This window comes from Homo sapiens, chromosome 10 (assembly GCF_000001405.40).
Source record: "Homo sapiens chromosome 10, GRCh38.p14 Primary Assembly".
NCBI classification, from domain to species: Eukaryota; Metazoa; Chordata; class Mammalia; order Primates; family Hominidae; genus Homo; species Homo sapiens.
The window spans coordinates 53813430-53837970 of record NC_000010.11 but is presented as its reverse complement, the minus strand read 5'-3'; the positions used below and the strand labels follow the sequence as shown (position 1 = coordinate 53837970).

Below are 24541 nucleotides of genomic sequence, written 5' to 3'. Positions count from 1 at the left end.
TAAATAAATAAATAATATATGTTTATATTGAAGAAAAGATAGAATAGCCATGAAATATGAAAATTTTGCCTTAGCAGTCTTCACCTTGAAGTATTATAGTAAGCTTAGAGTCACTGGTCTATTTGAAACTCTAGAATTGTTTCTTGAAAGATTTTATAATAAAATTGTATACACATACATATACATGTGTATATGTGTGTATGTGTGTGTGTGTGTGTGTTTTCCAAGGCTGATAATGCCAGTGCCCAAGTATTGGTATCTATTCTGTAGTTGTGAGAGTTATTGGTTATTTAGTTTTTAACACTGCATAAATGTACTAGAACATTAAGATGCCGGTCCAGGTCAATGGAAGTGTTCTTTCAATTTCCTTTCACCTTAAAATCTAAGCTTCTGAGGATGTTGGAATGCTCAGGTCAAAGGATTAGAAATCATCATAATAATAATTTGTCCTGGGAACTTACTTTGATTTGAAAAAATATATTTTGGCAATCAAAAATAAAAAAGCTCATAAATGCATAGACAGGACTGGAATGACTTTTAGTGATATGTTAATAACTTATTTTGTTTGGCCAGCTTATCGGTATTTTAATTTTTTTATTTTTGGTTACCTGAATTGCTTAGATTTTATGCAATAATTATATATTACTCTTATCCTGCTTTTTTATCCTTGTAGTTCTCAACTCTTTGGAGCTGCATTTTTTTGTGAGTTTGATTTTGAGTTTTTTCTTTTTTTATTTCTGGAATATTCTCAGACATTTTTTCTAATATTTCTTATGCCCATTTTCTCTTTATTCCTTTTCTGGGATTCCAATTACAATTTGATTTTTCTCATAATTTTGTTCCGTTCTGACTCTGCTCCCCTCCCCCGCCCACATAGACACACAGTTTTTTCTTTGTATTTTAGTGTGAATAATATTTACTGCCCTATTTTTGAATTCACTGATTCATCTGTGTTAGCCTATTGATGAACTCACTGAAGAAATTCTTCATCTTTTTATCTTTTTAGAAAGATATTTCTAGCATTTCTATTAGATTATTTCTTATTTCCACCACTCTACTGAATTTCTCCATCGCTTCAGGCATGTTTGTGCTTTCTGCTATTTTGCAATGTATTAATCAGAGTTGAATCAGAGTTCCTGTCTGACAGTTCCAATATCTGGGTTATCTCTATCTGGCTCTGTTACTTCATTTCTTGAAAATGGTTGTTTTATATTTTGTAGGCTTTTTGTGTCCTACTTGATTGAATGCCAGACATGGTGTGGAAGAACAGTAAGAAGTGAGGTAAATAGAGTTTATGCCTGTAAATGGACATTACAGACATTTACTCTGTTAAGTAAAGCTATTCAGGAATTATTTGGATTTTGCTGTTGCAATTATTACTTCCACTGTGCCAAAAGCTTCAAAAATTCTTTTATTGGTGGAATGGTGTCAACTCAGTCTTAGAATAGAGGCCTGCGTGCTGTAGGGTTTTCTCAGTCTTCTTACTCAGTCCTCAGCTCTCAGTGCTCTCTATATGCTTGTGCCACAGAAGAGGTTTCTGCCCACACTCTGATCTGTCCCACAGTGTTAGACTGCTCCTCCTTGCTGCTGGGTTCCACTCTTATAAGGAAGAGGTGGGTCATGGAATAGGGGTTCCTCTGTTCTCCTTGTACAGCCTGCATGTGTAAGCCTTGGTATGGGCTTTCTCAAGATTTTTTCCCCCTCTTTCTTATGGCATCATGGCAGCCATCCTCTGCTTCACATTTACAGGGGGTCTTGGGTGCAAGAGAATTTTCTGCCCCTTCTCAATCCATAGTAGACCTCTACTTTGTATTGGTGCAAGATCTTACACCTGAGAGGACTTCCTGCTCCTCCCCCAGGGGTAGGGGATTTTTGCTTATACCTCTTTTCCAGAAGCAGTAGACCTTTGCCTGAGCACCAGGGATGGGCACACTTCCTCCTCCTCCCTCTAATACTTACGGCCCTTGTTTCATCTGAGATAAAGGTCTGGGGAATTGCACAAGGGTTGCTGCCTGTGCACCAGCCTTGCTGATTTGTTCCTATTCTTACACCATGAAGGAATATTCTCTTGTGTCCTGCCTTGTCCCCCAATCTATCTTACAGAAATCTACGCAAAGAAGTTTTCAAATGAGGGGAGACTCCCCTTGTGTTTGTGGGTGTCTATAATTCTAACCTTATTTATTACAATTTTAGCTGTTTTGTTTTGTTTTGTTTTTTGTAGAGACATGGTCTCACTTTATTGCCCAGGCTGCTGTCAAACTCCTGAGCTCAAGTAATCATCCCACCTCAGCCTCCCAATGTGTTGAGATTACAGGCATAAGCCACCGTGCCCAGCCTATGGCAGCCACTTTTAACCTTTTCTGCCAAAGGTGAAACAATGTATGGTCACATCTCACCATGAAATTATCCTAATTGTCACTCAATGGAATTTGGTTTTTTTTGCTCACATTGTGACTTCAGCTCAAGGAAATTTATGATTTTAGTATAACCTGGCACTTTTTTGTCATTTTGTTGTTGCTGTTAATAGCCATATTCTCTTGTGGCTTTCTGCATTCTACACAAAACAGAACACACTACTTTAAAATATAGTTTAATTAAAATTTAAAAATAAGCAAATACATTTTAGCTTGTTTATCTGTCTTATATCCAGCCTATTTAAAAACAGTATGTCCAAATCGTAAGAGAAAGATGGAGAAGGCAGAAAAAGACTTTATACACTGCCTTTAAACCACAATGTTTAAAAACACACTTAGACCTTAAACGGTATCTGATTAACAGGCTCTGATAAAGCCTCTTTCAATGTTCTAAGTAAAAAACTATACATATAAATTCAAAATACTGAAAATCCAAATCAATGGAATACTAATTATTAGAATCTAGTTAAACAGTTATGAAACTGTGAAAAGAAAATAGTTGATGATCTAACCATGATTTGCTTGATTAAGCAGAAAAATCTTATACAGTGTAATGAATGTAGGTAGATATGTTAACCACTGCCCACTCTGTACGCCTAAATTGTGTACCTACAAAGGAAATAGACAGTTGTCCCTCTACTGTCTAGAGTACAATCTCCTGCTCACCCTTTACTTATTTCTACATTCATATGTACATTGCAGTATCAAAATCATCATCATCAAGGTAATCAGTCACGAAGGTGAGATGCAGGGTAGATTGTTGATTATGTATTTATTAATTATATGCTGAATAACACAACATTAGGCCCCATATCCATCAATGGAGGCAGAAATACATGTTTGCATGTGCTTGAGAAAATAATAAGACATGACATTGGTTTAGCAACTTATCTCATTTCAGGATAACATAGCAGTAATCAATTCATGTTGGCTACATCCTGGGAAGGGACCTGTATACCCTTCCCTTAGAATTACAAAAGGTTTGCATATAGTAACTGAGTACACTGTAGATGAAAATGACGAGAAAAAAAAAAAAAACACATTTCTGTGTTGATGCTGGATTTGGGCAGATCTATCTCTTTTTTAGGATAAGTAAGCAGTGGAAAAACGGGATCAGCAATAAATACTAAAAAACAAAATAAATATGGAAAATCAGGAGATAATAACCTGATGACCCAGAGGGAGAATATATAACTCTGGAAATTTTCTCCTACAGAAACCATTGGAAAACAGTTTAACATTTTTAGTAGAAAACAGAATGGTATGGATTGGTGAAATGGTGTGTGTGTTTTACATGGCTTGAGTCCTTCTCCTGTTTCTGGTAAAAGAATTCCACTTTCTCTCGTGAGAATTGTCCCTTTCCTACACGGTGGTAGTCTTTAATCTAAAGTGCCTTCCCCTCAGTCCAACTGGAGTATAGCAGTCAACCCTCTTCTGTGGTTTTGCTTTCTTCAGTTTCAGTTACCAATGGTACAATACAATAAGATATTGACAGAGACAGAGAGAAACCACATTTGCATAACTTTTATTACACTATAGTTCTATAATTGTTCTATTTTGTTATTAGTTATTGTTGTTAATATCTTACTGTGCCTAATTTATAAATTAAATTTTATCTCCTAAAATCAATTGAGCACCTGGATTCAACCTTTCCTGAAATGAGAAGGCATGTGAAAATTAAATTGACAACATGAAGTGTATCCATTGAAAATTTATGCAATATTAAGAAAAAGGAAAAAACATATAAATAATAAAAGAGATCAAAATATATTTATAGGACGATTAAAATACAACCTGATAATGACAGTTATTTCTGAGGTTAAAATTGTAGTATTTATAACAGAAGCAAAAAATCGAAAAAAGAATTCAAGAGTTTATTATATTACAGGCAAAAATCAATGAAAAGGTAGCCATGTTTCTTTGAATAGTATCTGAATATGTTTAAAAATCACTGAAACAGAAATAAAAATATCTTACTCATAAAGGAACAAAAATTAGGTAAGCCCTGCATATCTCATTTGCATGATAAAATGACAAAAGGCAATGGAAGCAATTTTGCTGTTTTGTAAGGGATAATGTTATGACTCAAGAATTTTTACCCAGACAAGTTGTTTTAAATACACAAAGTAAAGAAAGATAGTCTAGATCAGGTGTGGGTTCAAAAGTGATCCATCCTTCTAGTAAAAAATTGTTTATGACATCACATTGATAAGTGAAAATAAGTATCTAAGTAATAGGGCTCTTGCAGTGTAAAAAGACTAACAAATCTTACTTTAGAGAGTTTGGATATGAAATCCAGGAATCCAATAGAATTTTGATCTGTCAACTGAACTCCACATTGTAGGGGTATATTCTTCCCTTAAATTAATGATCCTCTTCTGGATCTGATTCTTCCTTGTTCTAATAATATAGTTCCTGTGAAGCAATTCTTGATCTATGCATCATTTAGAATCTCTTCCTTTATCTAATAAACAATTCAAACAAGAAGTTTCACTATTCTATTTCTAGTAATCATAAAAATGGCTAAATTTTTATTTTCTTTTAACGTGTAACAATGAGCTTGGAAAATTGCTATAAAAAGTACATTTTTAATCTATAAAAGCGTATCTGTTTAAAAAAAGCAAAAAAGCATTCTAATTGCCACATGTGTGATATGAATTAGTTTATGAGTTACATATGTGATGGAATTCATATGTGATACCAGGCACTTCTATTTTTAAGCAATGAACAGTGTGTTAACGGGATTTAAAATCAGCATGGTCACTCTGAATATTAAAATTAAATGTCTCAAAAGGGCATAAAATAGACTGAAAAAAGTACACAAGCATGGCATTGATTATATTTTGATAATGAAATTTAGGGCCATTTTAATTTTTTCTTTTGCATTTTTTTGTGTTTTCTGTATTTTTCAACATAAGCACTTTATATATGCAGTATACTCAAGTATATAAAATATTTAATATCACCCCTCCAAAAAAATATTAGACTTAAATATACCAAGATGTTAGAAGTGATTATGACTGTCTGTAGATCATGGGACTATGAGTAATTGTGTTTTTCTTGAACTATTTTTGTTTTCCAATATTCTATAGTAAGACGTTTGACCTTTATGGTGTTGTTGTATTAAGAACACAGTTGCTGCATCAATATGTAGAGCTTATAAGGGACTGTTCAAAAGTTCCCAAGGAATTGTTTAAAAAATCACCTGCTAATTATGATATTAAATACATAACAAATTTTTTCAATCTCATAAGATTAGGAATAATTATTCCTTGATTCTCTTCCAAAATTCAAGACTCATAGTTGGAATTGCATTATTTAGAGGAAGGAATTACATTGACTACCACTTCCTGTCATTCTTACAACACTGATATACTACTCGCATCATTTATTTAGTCTTTTTTTCCTAGGCAGAAGGGTCTTTTAAATGTCTTCACCATTTGACCATAAAACATTCTTTTGGTTTGAAACTTGAGAATGTTTACTTTTAAGATGGTGTTATGGCAAACAAATACAGAGTTTGAGTCTGAAATCTTAGTTTGGTGCCTCAGATTTGTTTTTATAACTGTATAGCTTTTTGGCCTGCAATAAATCAGTATTGTAATGTTTGATCTTTACAGGGTTATCCTGAAGGTTACAGGACCCAAGGAGATAAAATGCATAAATATAAACTATGGTATATAATTTAGGATATTATATTTTATTCCATCTAAAATGTTGTTAAATTATTTTGACACAGTAATATTAAGCTTAATGATACTGATAATTAGATTTTTTAAGTCTATAAGCAGATCAAGAGCTGTGTTTTAAAATATTTTTGATATTTCTATACAGATGTGTAATTACTCCTCTTCTTTATTGCTTATGCTTTTTATATATGCTTTTCTTATTATTCATGAGACTTCTGACTCAGCTTGTGTTTCAATTAGAGAAAATATTGAAAGATCTTACAAAAAGATTTTATTTTTAAAATGCTCTTTCTCTGCTAGCATCATTAATTTTACTATTTATCTAACAATAAAGATTTTTGGATGGCAAACTACTTGATATCAATAAAGACTTTCAGCCGTATTATGGGGAAGGAGGACGCATTCTGGAGATCCGGACTCCAGAGGCAGTGACCAGCATTAAAAAGAGAGGAGAAAGTCTAGGATACACAGAAGGGGCCTTGTTGGCTCTGGCCTTCATCATCATCCTCTGCTGCATTCCTGCCATCTTGGTGGTTTTGGTCAGCTACAGACAGTAAGTATTCAAGGATGGTAAACCTGGATAGTTCCTCAGAAGTCATTGCAGAAAACCATCTCTGGTAACATGGCTTTGCGTTGTAAAATATTGATGGTGCAACTACTCTGAGATTGCTTTATCTGTCTGTCTATCTCGTACCAAATGATTTTCTTCAAAAGGAAAACAGTACAAACTCCCAGTACATTTTTCACTGATGGCCCAATATTCCTGTGATTCTAATTCGGTCTCTTTCAATAGAAATATCACCTTAGTTCCTGTGGCTTTGTTTATGCTCTTCTTTTGTTTAAGAGCCAACTTGGGAGAGAAGGTAACAGGTATCCTGGGGTAAAAGCAATGGAATGTCATATGCGGATACCCACTCTGCCCAGCTCCAAAGGAAGGTCAATAACTTCGCGACATTGTCATGATAGGTTTTTATCCAAACTGTTAAATTTGCCTTTGTGCAAATGATCACAGTGTTAGCAAAAGCATTGTAAAATCATAGCATGTAAGATGTAATTTTCTATGTGGTTTCTTCCTTCCTGGGTGCTTTGCCAGAGTTTTTAGTGTACTATTTGACAGCATGTTCTGGCTGTGCAGGCTCTTAATTTTTCTGGTTCCTGCAGTCAAGTGCATCCATTGACAATATCCATATTTTAAAATTGTATTTAACTTATCTAGAGTAGTCAAGTAATTATCACTAATTTAAACATCCATATTTGAAGTAGGTTAGTAATATATTCTTTGACACTAGGTCTGGGGAAGCTTTGTGATAGAGAGCCACACATTTTAAGTATATTTCTATAGACAATGACTTGAAAAAATTGGGGAGCTGATTAAGAAGAGAAGTAGCCCTGAGTGTGCCACAAAAAGAAAATAAATAGCAGACAGTAATAATAAATCATGTAAATTACTTTATGTAATAAACAATAAGAAATAATGGTAGAACTGCTATTCATCATTTAAACTACCTACAGAGGAAATACTAAAATAGTTCTTATGTATTCTTTACTTTTTTTTTTTTTTTCCTGGAGACGGAGTCTGGCTCTGTCGCCCAGGCTGGAGTGCAGTGGTGTGATCTCAGCTCACTGCAACCTCTGCCTCCAAGGTTCAAGCTGTTCTCCTGTGTCAGCCTCCTGAGTAGCTGGGATTACAGGCATGCGCCACCACACCTGGCTAATTTTTGTATTTTTAGTAGAGACGGGGTTTCACCATGTTGGTCAGGCTGGTCTCAAACTCCTAACTTCGTGATCCGCCCACCTCAGCCTCCCAAAGTGCTGGGATTACAGGTGTGAGCCACCGCGCCCAGCCAATAGTCCTTATGTATTCTTAAACTGTCATCTTTGTTCTCAAATACTTAAAATTTTCTTGTGAATTGAATAAGGTAAGGTAATTCCAACCTGAAAATCCAAATGTATGCTCTGAATGAACTTTGCTATGAATGGAAACTAAAAAGCAAATATGAAAAAAAGTATCATGAATTCGTTACACAGAAGTAGGACCTTCCAATTCTAGCTCCGTTTTCAAAGTGAGGCCAAGAGTATAACTAGGGCTTGCTGCATGACTCCATTCCTTTAATATTTTTCAAGCAGGTCATTACTTTTCAAGTAATTCCAACCTGAAACTACAGAAATATTTTCTACCTCAAAAGCAATGTGAAGTTGCAAATACAGCATTAAGGTTGATATACTGGAGCTTAATGTGTCCTTAACCAATCAATTGATATGCTAAATCTAAAGCTGATGAACAAAATTGATACTGAACAAATTGTTTTAAATTATTAAGCCATCAACCCATTATTAATTATAATGTTAAATCCATTCCGTATTACCAGTTATCTTTTTACACTTAACTATTTTCCAAAGGAGCTTTATTATATCCTGCTAGCAAGCAAATCAGTGAGAAAAATTCTTGTATTTGGCACAGTATGCAATGATCAAAACTGAAGCGCTCTGGATGTTATACAAGGTAGTCTGAAATACAACAAATACTTGAGATGTTTAATATTTAAATAATTTATAGACGCATTATTTAATTCTCCTTTAGTTTGATAATCAGCTCAATACCATATGAATTTAGTTACTGCTTTTTATAGATTAACATAATTAAACAAAATGAGTTTTTCTCTGCTCACATAGCAAAGTAAAATTCTAATATTTAAAGACCTAACATTTGTACCTTGATATTTGCTTGCAAATAAGGTAAGAATGAATAGCTATCCTTTTATATAATGATATGCCTTTGAACTTTTCTATGAATGGAAACTAAAAAGCAAATATGTAAAAACTGTCATAAATTTATTACCCAAGAGTAGGACCTTCCAATTGTAGCTTCAGCTTCAAAGTGAAGCCAAGAGTATAATCAGGGCTTGCTACCTCTCTCCATTCCTGTAATATTCTTCAAGCAGGGTAAACCAAGAAGCCAATTATAAAGGTCAGGTCATCTTTAATATTCCATTTTTCCACTAGAGTTGAAATTCTCACATTTACATTTTAATCCAGTTTTCTTATTCTATGTAGTTCATTTCTTTATTTTTCTGTTATGGATATTTTAATGGCTTGAATGACTCTAACGGTAACGATACTATTTTCACCTTTTGAATTGATATCCTTAGTTTTCTTAGTCTGTCATTAACTCTGTCATTATGAATTTAACGTATAAATTATTCATGATTTAGAATAAATCAGATGTTAAAATGTTATTAATGCAATAGTTCTAATGTAGCTTTCTATTTTTCTTACTCTTGCTTTCCCAAACAGGTTTAAAGTGTAAGTATAATTAACATTTTACACATCCTTTTCATGTAATAGGAAAAGAGAAACCCGAGATTATATCAATCAAGTCAGCCTGCTCAGAACCACATCTTATTCCCTTGTTTTGCGTTTGTAATAGTTTATTTCTTGGTTTGATATATATAGAATTGAGCTGATTTTAGACAATTGGACGTAACTTGCACAAATGTGAAAAAGATAGTTTGCCTATAGCTTCCATCCTGTAACATCTTGGTTTTGAGGAAGAAATTAATCAGTGTCCAGGAAATCCAAAAACAGCAGTGTAGCTGTAACATGAGAATCACAGGCATTCCTAGGAATTTTTTTTTTTTTTTTTTTTTTTTTTTTTTTTTTGAGACGGACTTTTTGCTCTTGTTGGCCAGGATGGAGTGCAATGGCGTGATCTGGGCTCACTGCAACCTCCGCCTCCCGGGTTCAAGCGATTCTCCTGCCTCAGCCTCCCCAGTAGCTGGGATCACAGGCATGAGCCACCGTGCCCGGCCTAGGCATTCCTAGGAATCTTAAAGGATATACAAGCTAACCAAATTTCCCTTGTACATGTGTGTACAGCCTCTGTGAAATAACGTCAAAAATGTTTCAAATCATTTCAAATAACTTTAAAAGACAAATAATAAAGAAAAATTATCTATCTTATCTTTAATATGCCTCATCTTATGAAAGAGATTCATTAAACTACCAATTAATTATCCATCCCATTTTAATTAAAATTTTGCTTTCTCTAAGATTATCATTTAATTTAATTTGCAAATATGTCTGCTGAATTCTACCCCTTATTCAAGAGATAGCTATTTTCAAGAACAAAGCAGGGATTATATGCAAATGATACCCTGTGGGGATGCTTTTGTAATTACATCTGTTTATAAATTGATGTTTGTGTAAAATAATTTTAGTGGGTTCCCCTGATAACTGGACCCCATTATTAAAAGGTGGCTTATTGATAAGCATTATGATTTCTAAAATGAGTTTTACAAGCCATCCTTACTTTATCCAAGACGTCAAGCTGAGTGTACAAAGACTGCACGAATTCAGGCCGCATTACCCGCGGCTAAACCAGCAGTGCCGGCTCCTGCACCAGTGGCAGCGCCCCCGCCGCCGCCGCCGCCTCCGCCAGGTGCGCATCTCTATGAAGAACTTGGAGACAGCTCAATGTAAGTAGACCGTTCAGGAACTCTGAGAAGTAGTTGGGTTTTACTGAATTCTGTGTGGTGAGTATTTAATTTCAATCTGATGTGGAAATGCCTACATGGACTATTTATTTTATTCTATTATTTTCAAGAGAAAATTTGTTAAGACGAAAATCTAAGAAAGGTTAAGTTGAAAAATAATAGCCAAAACCAAACCAGAAATTAAAGAAAGCTAAGAGAAAAGCAGAATTCAACTTCAGGAGACAATTGCACATTTATAGCTTGAGTATAATATTTAATATCTCAATCCTCAGGGTCATGCATTTTTACATATATATAATGTATATGTATATATGTATAAATATATAAATAGATTCTGAAAAATATATTTTTGCATAGGAGACGAGAGAAATAAAGCACAATCATAAAATAGTAATCCTGATTAGGTATCCAAACCGATCCCTATTTGGTAATCAAAACCAAATTCTCTGGTTTAAAATCGTAGTATTTTCTGAGATACTACTTTTAGGACGTTATATGATATAGAAATTAAAATCTCAATGAAATTACAGAATTTCTATATTAAATTCCCAACTACTTAGAAAATGCTTTTTTCACTTTATTACTCTCAGACTGCGGTGATTACCGAATATTTCTCCTGCACGATTTGAAACTTGTAGTCACTATTTAAAAAATCATACATTTTTGAAAGACACTGGTAACTGTTAAAAGACCTCACAGTTGCTTGTATAATGATGCTACCCTCATAATTGGATTCCTTATGGTGATGTTCAGTTTGTCAGTATTTTAAAAATTCAAGAATAACTGCTTTTGGACATGATATGTAAAACAACCAAGAATATTTTACAATTTTGAATATGACAATTAAATCCAGAAAACCTTTTATTAACTGGAATTTGATGGAGTAGAAGGACTATAACATGTTATTACATGTGACATCCGTATCAGTTACTAGTAGCAATAAGAAAAGCCTAAAAAATCATGAAATTGACCTGGTAATGGAAAAGCTGGTTTTAAACAAATGTGTTCAGGTTACTTACCATATTAATAATGTTATACAAGGTTTTGTTTAGGATAGTCGTATTAATGTTAAAATTGATCTTAATGCTATTATTTTAACACAAAATCTGAATTTATAATAGGTTAAAGCATGACATTCTATTTCCAAAATAAGGACATAATACAGGGTTCATGCTTTAGATATATGCTTTCACCTTTTTTGTAAGTTGAAAAATGATTGTTTCTTTTGTAATTAATTATTGGTGAATGTAGGAATTGAGCCAATATGATTTGATTCTATTTGAGTATGTTAATGACCTCTCTCAAGCAAAGATCTTTAGAAACTAAAAAAAAGGATTATGTGTAAAGTTGTGTGTTTATATATGAAATTAATGAATTATGTATTCATTTTAAATTAATAAGAACAGGTATACTATAACATCATCTGGAATCAGCATAGTTTGATGACAGTAATTTTCAAATAGCAATACCTAAGATTATTTTTACTTGAACAATTGTAGTAGACTCAGTAGATTTTGCAATTGTAATATATGTATTCATTGAAATAGTTTAAGTAAGTTCTACATATTTAATTATCTTATCTTTAGTAAATGTTTAACCTATCTATCTATTCAAGAACTTTTTACAGGAATTCTAAGCATTAAGTTACTAGAAAATGAATTAGTTTTAAATGATTATTATCAATTATCTTAAAAAGAACAAAGTCAAAGATCATTTTGGAAAAACTACTTCACAAAGTAATAACTTCGTATGATAACTTCCTATGAATGCTATAATTACTTTGTAATTAATTGTCATCATAGTAGTTGTATATTTACTTTCTTCCAAACAAAATATATCTACTTTAAAAGTCAGTGTGCATTAACCAGTTTTACAGAGTTAAGACATCATAGAAGCAATTTTTAAACTCTCATTTAAAATTTTTATTTTAGGATTGGCATCATCCAGGTTTAATAGAAGTGAATTTTTATCTATGTATAGTAAACAGACTTTATTAGATACAATTTTCTGTGAAAAGACATTCAAATAATGTCATTTGATTTCATCTACTATTAAATGTCATTCATATGAATAATAACAAAATATAAAAACATGCCTTTTTTTTGATATACGTACTAAGTGTTTGTTTAAAGCAAGTTCCTGCTCATATTTTCAGAATTGTTTTAAATTAACTCTAGTAAAAACTTCTTTTTTTCTATCACATGTTTTCTGTTTCTCACCTGTGGATACATAGGCATAAGTAAGTAAATAATATCACTCTAATAGAAGAGCGTTAGAAAAATAGATACAATAGAACAGATTAAAATGCTGTTGTACTGTAAATACAGTGATCTTCATCTTTTGCCACAGACTCACTTACTGTTAAAAGGAAAGTTTTGTCTTCCACACCCAATTTCCTTTTGATGGCATGAGCTTAAAACATGTGTTCGCTGTGATGGTACCTGTGCCTACTGAAAGGAATTTCAAAATTCTCCTTGTTTTTAATTTTTTTAAATTAGTTTTTAAAAATTCTTAAATTTTAAGAACTTAAAATTTACAAATCTATAAATAGAAACCTATTTATAGATTTCTTTTAGTCAAAGTGATGTGATATTGTTATATCCATTGGGTGCTTTACCAAGAGAAATCAAACCACGAACAAATGTTTGTTTACAAAAACAACCAGTATATAATATCAATCCCAGTTGTTCGTGCCATATTTGAAAAATACTTTTCAAGATTCGAAGAGTAAAAGTGTTTGTTTGCACTCTGATTAGTCCAGATTGTCTGAATTTTCTTTGTTGTCCAAGTAGGCTTGATGCTCCAGGTCTACCTGTGTGAATTGTTTCTTTCTCTTTCTTATAGTTCGTATCTTTGCCAAAAGACACATTAACAACTGTGGCTTTATTATTTTGTTGCCTAAACTATCACCCTAATTTTTCAATATGGCTAGTTAATTTCTATTCAGAATATTTCTTTTTTATTTCATTCCTGCTAAGTGGGTAAATATTAAGCAGTAACTAAAATAAATGTTATTCTGTTTTGGCTTGAGAGTAAAAGCTAATGAGAATTCGGAACCACCTATCAATCAGCCAACAATCCTGGGAGAAGGGTCCAAATGCTTTCCTTAGAGCCATTTAATTTGTGATCTTTGATGTATGCAACTTTATTTATGACTCACAACTACCTATGATTCAGTTTCCGTGCATAAGTAAGCCTTTCAGTGATATCAAAAAGTGATTTTTTTTTTTAGCATCAATCTTTTTGTTAAGGTGAGTTTTAAGTAAAATTTGATCCAGATCAGTCTAAGAAATTACTGACAACATCTTTTCTGATTGGTACTATTTATAAGGTTTTAAAACAATTTTTCCTGATTGGTATTATGTATAAGGTTTTAAAACTAATTAAGCACAAAATTTAAACAGAAGAAAAACTCCTCTGTCACAATTCTAGCATACATTCAATTTCTCAATTGTGATTTTTGGGCTGTGAGACAAACTCCCATCTGTCCTTGGTGATTTTAATTCTCTTAATTTGGAGAACAGGATATTCCACATGATGGCTCAGAGAGGAGATTACTTTTGGCTCTAGGACAGAAGTACTGAATCAGATACAGCTAAGAATCTTCTATGCGTAACAGGCAGCCCTGAGCATCCTCAGGCAAGGATGGTGTTCTGCAATGGGAAGAACTGTGATTTGTGCATAAGGGAACTGTTACGTGTGGACATGGATGCTTTGCTGTATCACACTAGCTGAAAAAAAACAAAAACAAAAAATACTCTCTTCCAAAATAATCTAGAGATGAGTACTTTTTTTTTCATTTACATTTCTCATTCTTCTCACAACTCTAAGATTTTTCTGCCCTGCCTTTCTAAGAGCAGGGAATTAAAATAATGTCTTGCTTTAGTAGGTTAGTGTTGTTTGGCCTTTGATGTTTTTAAGTATTTAATAGTAATGAGAGCCATAAAAACATCTTTCTCATGAAAGCTGTGTCACAACTTGTTTCCTTACATTTCATTATCTTCTTTTCTTTCAAGTCTTTTCCTTCTCTACCATTTTCAACAAAGCAGGGGAAATAACTCAGTCTCAGAAGACAGGAAACATCAACAAGTTGTGATGCCCTTTTCTTCCAATACTATTGAGGCTCACAAGTCAGCTCATGTAGACGGATCACTTAAGAGCAACAAACTGAAGTCTGCAAGAAAATTCACATTTCTATCTGATGAGGATGACTTAAGTGCCCATAATCCCCTTTATAAGGAAAACATAAGTCAAGTATCAACAAATTCAGACATTTCACAGAGAACAGATTTTGTAGACCCATTTTCACCCAAAATACAAGCCAAGAGTAAGTCTCTGAGGGGCCCAAGAGAAAAGATTCAGAGGCTGTGGAGTCAGTCAGTCAGCTTACCCAGGAGGCTGATGAGGAAAGTTCCAAATAGACCAGAGATCATAGATCTGCAGCAGTGGCAAGGCACCAGGCAGAAAGCTGAAAATGAAAACACTGGAATCTGTACAAACAAAAGAGGTAGCAGCAATCCATTGCTTACAACTGAAGAGGCAAATTTGACAGAGAAAGAGGAAATAAGGCAAGGTGAAACACTGATGATAGAAGGAACAGAACAGTTGAAATCTCTCTCTTCAGACTCTTCATTTTGCTTTCCCAGGCCTCACTTCTCATTCTCCACTTTGCCAACTGTTTCAAGAACTGTGGAACTCAAATCAGAACCTAATGTCATCAGTTCTCCTGCTGAGTGTTCCTTGGAACTTTCTCCTTCAAGGCCTTGTGTTTTACATTCTTCACTCTCTAGGAGAGAGACACCTATTTGTATGTTACCTATTGAAACCGAAAGAAATATTTTTGAAAATTTTGCCCATCCACCAAACATCTCTCCTTCTGCCTGTCCCCTTCCCCCTCCTCCTCCTATTTCTCCTCCTTCTCCTCCTCCTGCTCCTGCTCCTCTTGCTCCTCCTCCTGACATTTCTCCTTTTTCTCTTTTTTGTCCTCCTCCCTCTCCTCCTTCTATCCCTCTTCCTCTTCCTCCTCCTACATTTTTTCCACTTTCCGTTTCAACGTCTGGTCCCCCAACACCACCTCTTCTACCTCCATTTCCAACTCCTCTTCCTCCACCACCTCCTTCTATTCCTTGCCCTCCACCTCCTTCAGCTTCATTTCTGTCCACAGAGTGTGTCTGTATAACAGGTGTTAAATGCACGACCAACTTGATGCCTGCCGAGAAAATTAAGTCCTCTATGACACAGCTATCAACAACGACAGTGTGTAAAACAGACCCTCAGAGAGAACCAAAAGGCATCCTCAGACACGTTAAAAACTTAGCAGAACTTGAAAAATCAGTAGCTAACATGTACAGTCAAATAGAAAAAAACTATCTACGCACAAATGTTTCAGAACTTCAAACTATGTGCCCTTCAGAAGTAACAAATATGGAAATCACATCTGAACAAAACAAGGGGAGTTTGAACAATATTGTCGAGGGAACTGAAAAACAATCTCACAGTCAATCTACTTCACTGTAATGTTGCTTTTCTTATTTTAGTCGGGCAAACCTCTTGTTGATCATAGTCTTCAAGTTGAACATCAAATTTGAACGTCAAAGAAGACTCTATTATTTTACCCCAAATTCAATGAAATGCAGTTTTTTTTCTCGTTTTTAATTTAAAAAGATATTAACCTCATCACTACTAACTCACTCATATAATAGATTTACCTTACTTTTTAAAAACTACAAAGTAGCATAATTTGTTCTACATTTATTTGAAAAGTAAGTAATTTTAATCTCTTTTTTAGTGGGAATATGTGGGCATGAAAATTAGATACCCAACTTAAACCAAAGGCATGTCTATCATGTGGATGCAGTAACATTTACATTTAGTTTTTGATCGTAGTTTTATATGAATGTTCCAAGAAAAAAGCAGACTGTTACAAATAAGTTAAAACTGATATGATTGATAGGTTCTGTTTTTTCTTGAAGCCTATGTATTTGGTAAGAAGAAATACTACCGAAGTAAAATATAATGTACCTAGATTGTAGGAGATGACAGACATAAGGTATTTCAAAATAAATCTCAGGTGCTATAACATGTAGTCATCTGTTTTCTGATAAGAACATCTTTTACTCTGACTTGCTTTTATCTTAGTAGTATGCTTATGGATTTAGTAGTATGCTTATGGATTTGATAAATCTTATACTTTTTCAGTTGCTGTCTTATTCTCTTTATTTCTCATTGTGCTTTCCCTTCCCTTCTTTATAATGAAAATAAATCTTGAGTCGTTGACTTTTGTAAGGCATTTCATTGTTCCAACAGATGCTTAAAAAGTGCTGTTTAATTTTGTTTGTTCATATTATTAATCATCTCCCTAATTTAAATTTTTTCATAAGATTCCTTTTTAAAGAAAGTATGATCTTCAGTTTAATAAATGAAATATAAAAAGCTTAAATAGAAAAACCAAGAGAAGTGATATTTGCTGAACTATCAATCACTCTTTTACCTAGGTTTCTGCTCTTTGTTTTAAACAAAGAAAATAAAACTGTATACTCTGGGAAGAGATTTCTGTAGTTGTAGTAATAGTTCTTAGCGCTCCAATTGTTAAATTCGAACAGCATCACTTAAGCTAGATACTATCTATGTCCCTTCCTTCCTAAGGAAACTATACTTTCAATATTAGTATATAATGTATAATATGTGACCATCAAGTAATTACTTTGTTTTTCCCATGAAACACATGGAATAGGTTTTATTTACTGGAAGTTCACATTTTGAATGCACATGTAAGTGTTTAAAACAAATACTTATAAAACACTCTGGAGTTTTAAGATTTTAGAAGATATAAGTTTGCATGGAGAAGGGTACAATTCTAAAATACAGGCAAAACTCATACCTGATAATTACTATTGGAAGTATATGAATATAAGTTGAGAGCCCCCTTCAATGCGTTATTTCAGAGGTTTTCTTCATCCCTCATATTTCTTCAATAATTTGACCTGGCATTCCTAGTTACCAAGATCAGACAGAAAACAATCTGTAAATCTGATTATTTTTATTAGCCCATCTGCTTCAAAATCTTTTCATCGAAATCAAGAGTAATTACTTTCTTGGGGTTCTTGAACGTGATTTTTTTCTTTCTTTCACTGAAAAACTTCAGTTGGAGTTTTTGTTGGCAGCTGGTCATATGCATGAGAACTTGTGCTATTTGGCGGACTCTGACAAGGTATTCACAATTGTGTAAGCCTTTAATGTGAGTGTGTCTTTTCTAAGCTAATATCTACACCAGCTTTTTGCAAATGTAAAATTTATAATTTCTTGATAAATCTATAAATAGTAACAAAAGAAATAAGAGAAGTCCAAAAAACATATTTGTGTAGGTACCTACAGCCCTATTAAATTGTTATATTGCCTTTTTCTATAACATTTTACTATTTACATAATCTGAAAGTTTTGTTATTATTCTGTACTTTTTAATTGAAACATAGATACCTGTGTTTTATATTTAAGCCAGTCTTTTTCTGACACATTGTATTTGGAGATTCCTAATGTCATTATGATACATTATAAAAGTCAGTTAAAATATCTTCTATATGAGACCTTTTAGTATTATTTGAGTACACAAGCCTAAATATTCTTCCTCCTCTCAAACCCTAACTGCTTACAACCTGACAACCAGAGAGGAGAAAAGTAACACTTTTTTCTCAATATTTATTATGATCTCATTAATGCATAAGAAATTATTAGATACCTTTTAAATAAAGACTTAAGAAAGATGACCAAACATTTGTCCTTATTGTTAAAAGTAAACAGTGATACATATACATGATATAAAATAAATAATACAATTGATTATGAATTGCATAAAGAGGTGCATCGATATTATATGAACTGGCTTTATAAGTATCAATAGTCATGTTTTGAAAGCACACAGGTAAAGTAGTAGTTCTGTTATGTACCTCTTTCAAGTAACTTTCTGCCTTTGAGCCAAGACAAGCAATACAAATAACCAAATAAAAGGCAACAAAAATGTGAATGGAAACATTAACATTGAGTTATAGTTTATCTATTGATATTTTATTTTTCACATTGATGGAAAACATTGCTAATAAAAGGAGTCAGAAGAAATCGTCTAAAAAATAAAGCCTGGCTTTGGTTGGATATTTTATAAGGTATATGACTCAGTTGTCATTGTTTAAACCTAAATATGAGCTTTCCCTACCTGAATTATTTCTGAAAAATATAAATTTGGTAAAAGTTGAAAATGTCTACAATTTCTAAAGGCTCTGGAAGAATTATCAGTCTTATAAATATTGGCAGAACCGTGTAAGCACTCTACGAAATTCACTGCAGAACCATTTTAAAGAATCAATTGAGAAGCTTAAGTAAGCATTGTATTTACTTTTTTTTACAAACAGTTTCAATATACAATGCATAAACCATACAAGATGCTTTCTGATAAGTAGAATTACTTTGTGAAGGCCTCAACATTTTTTAAAAATTTTTCTACAGAGATTCTTTTGTTGGATTTTAGAAAGTTATGCATGTGCCTCTTTGTAATATGTGCCTCTTTGTAATAATTCTTCATTACACTGATTGATTAATTCTACATAACATGGTTGACAGCATCAGTTTAACACTTTAACTGCTTAAAAAATAACACATAGAACATTTTCATTATTTATTAGTAACATTCAACTTTGAAAACTCTATATTCTTTTCTCCCCCTCAAGTATAGTCAAACGTTTCACCATCTTGTGATGTGTGAACTTTATAAATCTTTATGTAATATTGAATATTTGGCTATTAAAGCTCTAAAAACTTCTTCACTTAATTTCTAATATTATAATTGACCCTGCAAGGACAGCCAATAGTTTGTATTATTTTTAGAATTAACATAAAGAAAATATCATACAATCATTTGGAAGAATATATTCAATCATAGACATAATTTTCATCCTATGTTTATTACATTCTTCATGTATAAAGCATATCTCTTCCCCTAAGGATTAGTATATATATCAAGACTTGTGTATAACAGAGATCATGTATAATATTTTTTATCCAAATTGATTGATAATAATAGAGTCAAAGTTTGTCATTATACACTATTGAAATAAAATAGATTTTGCATGTTTTGTTGCTCATATGGAACGAGGCTCTGGGTTGATCATTATTTTAGTAATTCAGGTGTGAAACCATGATCTTCCTGTTTTGATAATTCCACAAAATATACTTCCCACTGAGATAGTGTTTAGTAGAAATTGTCTTCTCAGTTTTACTCAGACATTTTTTAAAGCCCTTATCTGTCAGTCATTTTGTTTAATAACGAAAATCTAAGATGTTTAATACTGATTTATTTATTTCTGCCTTGCAGGAGAGGTTATGGATCAGAGGTAAGGGCTTTATGGTGTTGATGTCGTAACAAGCATACTAGGAAAATACTTGTGTAATAGGCAAGACTAATGTACATTCTTTTGAACTAGTTTATTTTCTTTGATTTCAGCAAAAACATATTAGTATGTTATGCTATTTATTTTCTTTTATATATGTTGCTTCCCTGTTTTAAGGTTTTAAATCTCTTATTCAATGGTCAAAGATCACTTGCTTACCTTTTTAAGGATACATGTATTTTGTTCTGCATTACTATTACTCAGTATTCTGACATTTCCCCAAAATTTATTTGTCTAAGGCTATACATATAATTTAGAAACTAGGATTACTGCCTGTAGTCCCAGCTACTTGGGAGGCTGAGACAGGAGAATTGCTTGAACCGGCAAGGCGGAGATTGCAGTGAGCCAAGATCAGGCCACTGCACTCCAGCCTGGGCAAAAGTGAGACTCTGTCTCAAAAAAAAAAAAAAGAAAAAAAAAAGAAAAAGAAAAAAAAAACAAAGAATATATATATAGGACTACTTAACTTTTGATCTTTTTACCAGTTCAAGGCGCCATCCTATCACTAGGTTAAAGCTTGAGATCCTAAAGATTTTAAAAATAATCAGAATGTTAGAAAGCTCTGGGTTTTCTACTGTGTTCATTTGATTCTGTCTGCAGAGAACTTACTGGGCATTCTGGCCAGTAGTATTTGGCCAGCTGTACTGCAGGTGATGTTACCAATGAAGTCACTGCGAACCTAGTTTGATTTAGCATACAGCTTCTCAATCAAGAGAAGTATACGACCTAATTGGATTGTAGTTTAGAATTCATTATAAGTAAAATAACTAACTCACCAACAACTGTATTATAAAAAGGATATCCCTTCAGTCAAATGGTTGTTCTACTAGCCAGTTTAAACAGTGGGTTCAATGATGGAATTACCTCCCAGAACCTCACTACCCACTTTTCCAATACTTAGTTTAATATGCTGTTTTCCCTCCAAAGAGTTACTAACCCCAAAATTTGAATTGTGTATCTTGTTTTTATCTGGTTAAAGTGTGTATTATTATGAAACAGATCAATGGTGACTGTATTAGCTTTAAATAAATACAAGTGAAAGAAGGAAGAGGCAGGAAGCAATTCCTACCAAATCTGATAATTAATGACTTTCCTAATCATTCTGAAAACACACTTAATGTTTTAGTGCAAGAAATCCACACTTTGGTAAGAAGAAGAAATGGAGAGCATGTCTTCAATATGTTGATAGATACATTACAACTTTATCGTTTTGTGTGTTCTGCTCTTCTTCCCAATGAATCTTATCACATTTAATGTGATTGGGAAGGAAAAAAAGAAGGGCAACTTAAAACAAGGTTAAACTTGATAAAAGTAATTATATGACACACAGTACTTTTAGAAACATAAATAACTCTTTGTACTGTGGAGCTTAACAAAACAAAAATCTGTATAGATTCCTGTTTATTAAGGCTATTAAATTTGTCATTAACTAGAAGAATGATGAAATTAAAACATAACAAATGAATTCTTATTTTATGTTCCAATATAAAGAATTAGTTAAAATATTTAATGCTTTTGGTAGCTAACACATGAATAATGAATAATCCCAAGGAAACACGTTTTAAACTGTCGCCTTTTTTTCCTCTCTTCTCAATCATGATCTACCTTTCCCATCTGAATTATTTTCTAAATCTTTTTCTATTTTAATTTCCTTTGACAGCAACAGCAACTGCTGAGGCCCTCTCTTCTTAAACCAGAGGTATCAATTTTCATTTTCTTTTCAACCTCACTGAGCCTTCACTGTGACTTTAAGATCTATTGTATTAATTCTTGTAGGCAGAGTGGGTGTCTGCCAATGTGGCATAATTTTAAAGGAAAAGAAAAGAGTCTTTCAAAATAACTTCAAAAAAAAGAAACCAAGAAATCACCTCCTGAAGTTGCTGGTAGCTCAACTTCCAAATTTTTAGCCTCATTCTCTGGGAATGAGACAAGCCCATTATTCCTAATAAATACGGGCCATTCATTGAATGAAGCAATTAATGAACCCGATCAGCAGTTACTTGTCTTAATCAATCTGAATTCATCTATCCATTCCTGACATCAGATTTAGATTATGCAAAGTTTAAAGACAGAATGCTGATATCTGTACTTAAATATCATTTTATGTGATTCAAAATACTTCTTTTGGACACATATATTACCAATTGCCTATGGCATTTTCTTCTGCAATGTGAAAAAGATATTTTTTGTATAATAAATATATATTATTGTATTTACTTATTATGTTTATATATGTAATTAAAAATAAAAACACAGACATCCTACTTTTAATTTTACGGCAAATTTAGTATTTCATAAGCTCCACTTACAAAAATTTTATTCCTTTTCCTTGAGTACAGAATTCTGTCTTTGCTAAAAAGAGGCATTTCTTGGTTAGAATCTACTCTCCAAAATCTGGAGGTTGTGTGGCAGGAATATTAAACTTTTATAAGGTTTTAGCAAAAATTTCCATGGAGAGGGCTCCATAAAATTTGAATTGGAAAACTCAGGGTTGAAATCCAAACACCAATGACTTTATGCAAGACCTTAGTCAAGATACACATCTGCTGAACATCAATTTCATCTTCTATAAAATGTTAGCAGTAATATCTAATAAATGTGTAAGTTCCTAGCTCAACAACTGGAATGTAACAGGAAGAAATTCAGTAAATTACAATTATTGTTGTTGTTTTTGTTTTGCATCAGTATAAATGTTTATAATAATTAAATATTAAGTTAATTCTATGTTTTCCCTGTGTGGACAGCAAAAATGAATATTAAAAATTACATTAAGTGTTTGATCTACCCAAGAAAATCACTAGTGTGTTACTTTGCATACTTTTCTAAAATCTAGAATTCATCAACTAAGGGGTTGTTACAGTCTACTGGGACTGTGTGGAACAACAAAAAGGGCCAGCATTCCCTTGTTGGTTGAGGTTGACTCATGGATCTGACTGGTCAGCAGTTCCTTACTCGATTTTTTTTTTTTTTTTTTTGAGACAGATTCTTGTTCCATCGCCAGGCTGGAGTGCAGTGGCATAATCTTGGCTTACTGCAACCTCCACCTCCTGGGTTCAAGCGATTCTCCTGCCTCAGCCTCCCGAGTAGCTGGGATTACAGGCGTGTGCCACCATGCCCAGCTAATTTTTGTATTTTTAGTAGAGACGGGGTTTCACCATATTGGCCAGGATGGTCTCTGTCTCTCGACCTTGTGATCCGCCCACCTCGGCCTCCCAAAGTGCTGGGAGTACAGGCGTGAGCCACCGCACCCGGGCTCTTTCCTCAAATTTTTTTTTAACGACTGATGGCTCTGCTCTTCATTCATGGGTGGTGGAAGCATCCAAGAGGGACCTTTTAGATCATTTCCTTCTGCTAGTTCCTATCCCTCTTTACTCAACTCAGAAATACAGAGTGACTGATTGAATCAAGGGCTATCTTGCTGAGTTTCCTGGGTTCCTATCCGCATCCCTTCTATACTTCTTATTACATTTTTAATGCAATTGATGCCATATGCATTGTAGCTAGCAAGAGCTGAGCGTTATTTTCCCTTAATGAAGAAAAAGTATTTATGTAAAGAAAATTCTTTGATGCTGACTTCTAAAATCCAAAATCCACTCAGTTGCATTATTTCTCCATAAATATTTACTTGAAATTTTTATTTCGTGTTTCTTACTATTACCTAATGTTGTTAAAAGTCTACTTCAAAACTGTTTGAAGTTATTTTCTCAGTATCTGTATGTATTTAATTAAACGTGCATTGGTCAAGCAGTTTGAAAATATTAGTTCTGAGACCTATTTGCTTCATTTAAACCAGTGTCATTACACTGAGTTTTACATACCCTAAAATTCTTAGCTTACCTCCAGGAAACGTTTTTACAAAGTACTTAGTTTGAAATAACTTAAATCTAGACTTTTTGTCTCAGTTTCTTCCAGGTCTTTCTTAACCTCATTCCTTCCCCCACACTTCAACCTTCCTATAATAAATATATTTTTGTTGAAATAAAACCTACGCCCATAAGAAAAGTATAAACCATACTGTATAACTAGATGAATTTTTACAGAGTGCACATGCCCCTCAAGCTCTTCTATGTCAACACCTAGATATCAGTTTTCCTTCTGGCCTGTAACATATTCTTTAGTCAGTTCTTGAAATTTATATAAATAGAATGATATAATATATTTCGTTGGTACCTGACCTATATTGCTCAACATTCTGTTTGGGAGATTCATTTATGTTGTTGTGCGATGTGGTAGCGTGTTTATCTCATGGACTTTTGCATTGTTTCCAATTTGGGACTGTTACGAATAATGTGTTTTCTCACAAGTGTACATGTTTCTGTTGGGTATTTAACTACAAATTTAAGTTCTGTGAAAGAAGAAATGGTTATATTTAATTTAGTACTATTGCCAAACATATTCTAAAAAGTTTTACCAAGTAATAATCTCTCCAGACTTAGATGAGAGTTTTAGCTCTTCTGTGTCCCTGCAAATACATAGTATTGTTCATCGTGGGTTTGTCTAAATATTAG

General features: G+C 33.2%; 1 protein-coding gene across 19 annotated transcripts in view; it reads left to right on the top strand.

The window, feature by feature from the left end:
* Positions 1-24541, top strand: part of PCDH15 (protocadherin related 15) — a 1825172-nt gene that overhangs the window by 1789972 nt on the left and 10659 nt on the right. For 5 of the 19 annotated variants that reach the window (NM_001142772.2, NM_001142771.2, NM_001142770.3 and 2 more), the window contains 4 exons: positions 6438-6656; positions 9398-9406; positions 10423-10578; positions 12830-12835. In NM_001142772.2, coding sequence (NP_001136244.1) covers positions 6438-6656; positions 9398-9406; positions 10423-10578; positions 12830-12835 — 390 coding nt within the window. Of the gene's footprint in view, positions 1-6437; positions 6657-9397; positions 9407-10422; positions 10579-12829; positions 12836-14612; positions 16873-17740; positions 17807-19957; positions 19977-21693; positions 21733-24541 lie in introns of those variants that run through there. The other 14 variants (NM_001142768.2, NM_001142765.2, NM_001142764.2 and 11 more) reach the window with 8 other exon arrangements.